Source organism: Homo sapiens, chromosome 1, assembly GCF_000001405.40.
Source record: "Homo sapiens chromosome 1, GRCh38.p14 Primary Assembly".
Taxonomy (NCBI): domain Eukaryota; kingdom Metazoa; phylum Chordata; class Mammalia; order Primates; family Hominidae; genus Homo; species Homo sapiens.
This window is the reverse complement of record NC_000001.11, coordinates 20280873-20283283: the sequence shown is the minus strand read 5'-3', so window position 1 is coordinate 20283283 and position 2411 is coordinate 20280873.

Genomic DNA, 2411 nt, shown 5'->3' with positions numbered 1-2411 from the left:
TGCAATTAACAACTTGATGAATGTCTTTCTCCTCTACTACAATGCAAGCTCAATGAAGGCCAATACCTTAGCTCTTTCGGTTACTTCCTCTGCTATGCCACGCTTGGCGCCTGCACCAGGTAGGCACTCAGAAAATATTTGTTGAACAACTGAGTATAAGCCAAATGAAATCACTAATGGAAAAGACCTTTATCAAGAATAAAAGGTATCCATTTGGAATTATTATTATACCCACTTAATAGGCGATAAAACTGAAGAGCCAAAAAGTTAAGGAACTTACCTGTCTCTTGGCTTAGTGGCAGAGCCAGGGCCGGAACACAGACATAGTTCCTGGCACACAGAGGGGCTTGATCCCTGCTTACTGAGCTAACGCGGGTTCTCCCTACAACTTCAGCACCCTGTGCCCTGCACCCTGCTGTCTCTCCTGGAGGCAGGCTGCTTGGAGTGTACAGATGGCTGCTGGCAGAGTTCGGTGCTGGCTGGAGATGACTGCTCTGTCATCAGGTGCCTGTTTCTTATTCATGATCTGTTGCCATTCATAGTGCCTTGGTACAAACAAACAAGCAGCGACAGCTCCTGGCTTCAAAGCTGTCCTGGGGGCAGGAACACAGCCTGGCCTGGCCAGGGGCCCCAGGCAGCTCACTGATGGCAGGGAGAGCCAGGGGCTGGGCAGATGCAAGCGTCTCAGAACAGGTGGCTGATCAAGGCAAGGGAGGGCTGCTAGAGGGACAAAAAAGGGCTGAATCTCTGAAGCTATCAATCTTGTACCGTGCTCTTCCAGCTTTTTAAAAATAGACACATGGCAAAAACACATTTTAAAAAAGGAGGAAAACAAAGGTAAATAGATTCTTTCAAGTGTGGTCAGGAGTACTTCCATGTGTTTCCTGCCCTCTGGCCTCTCATGCTCCCCTCTGCCCCACACCCAGGAGAAAAGGATAGTGCATTTCTAGTGCCTGAAATCTTCAGGCTGCCTGGGACATTGTGTGAGTATATTGAGGACCTACCAGGTACCTGGGGCTGTGTTTTACACATGCTGATTCGTGCCATCCTCAAAACAGCCCTGGGAAGTGTTTGGGTTTTGTTTGTTTTGTTTTAATTCAACCAGTATTTGGGCATCTCCTCTGTGTAGACACTGGGCCATGATTGGTCAACCCAATAGACATTGTCTTCACCATCTGGATCCTACACTCCACAGCAATGAGGTCATTAAAGTCTTGATAAGTGCTGCAAAGGGAATAACTTGAGTCATTTGCTACAGAGTCACTAGGGTGGGGGACTGGGATTACTATGTTGTATTGGGAAGTCAGGGGGGTGCTTCTCTGAGGAGGTGACACCCGAGCTGAAAAATGCAAGATGAGGAGGAACCCAGCTCCCAGCTGTTCAAAGGGTGGGGCAGGGGAGGAGCATTCAGAGACAGTGGGAGCAATAATTCCAAAGGGTAGGAAGGGGCTCCGTAAACCCAAGGAAGAGAAAGGGGATGAAACGGGCCAGAGCAAAGTGAGAGTGGCCCACACCAAGGAGAGGGGCAAGTAAGAGGTCGGAGGGACAGATGGGTCACCATGAGAGTTCACTGGGGGATATATAAAGAGGGCAAATGTGCTTTTGTTGCATTTTATGAGCTCATCCTGGCCACTGGGTAGAGAATGGGTTAGAGTAGGGGAAGCCGGGAGAAGATCATGGGAACGCTACTGTGGTAATAGATAAAAGATGGTGGTGGTGGTGGGGAGCGGTAGGGGACGGAGAGCAGTGGATGGATTGGGTGTGGGTGAAAGGGAAAGGAAAGAATCAAGGGTGCCTCCCCAGTTATGGGTTTGTGTAATTACATGGGTGGTGGTGCCATTTGCAGAAATAGGCAAGGCAGGGGGAGGACCAGTTGGGTGGTGGCATTGGTGGGAATCTAGAAATTTTTTTAGGATGTAATGAGTTTATAGTAAATCATGTATCCAGGTACAGACTGTAGTTGAATATATTAGCTTGGAGTTCAGATGACACTGAGCTGGAGATGAAATTCAGGAGTCGTAAAGCTATACATGGAAATTAATACCCAGCAACAAGATCCTCTGAGCATCAAATGCAGGTTCCATGACAGCAGGGACTGTGCCTGTCTTGTTCATTGCTCTCTGCCCGGCGGCACCTACAATCTAGCACGTGGTAGGCACTTGAGTCATTATTGAAGACCGAAGGGAGAACATAAAAGGAAGCCACAGACATGATCCCTTCCGCCAAGGAACTCATACTAGGTGAGGGCACCCAGAAACAAACACAGCCTTAAATCCATAAAACAGTCACATGGCCAATTTGCAATCAGGGACCATTTGTATGCATCAGGATTGACATTTTCCTTAGCCTCACAGAACCTGCTGTGGTGGGTGGTCCAAATTAATAGGCTAAGTACACTTGTGAGGAAAATG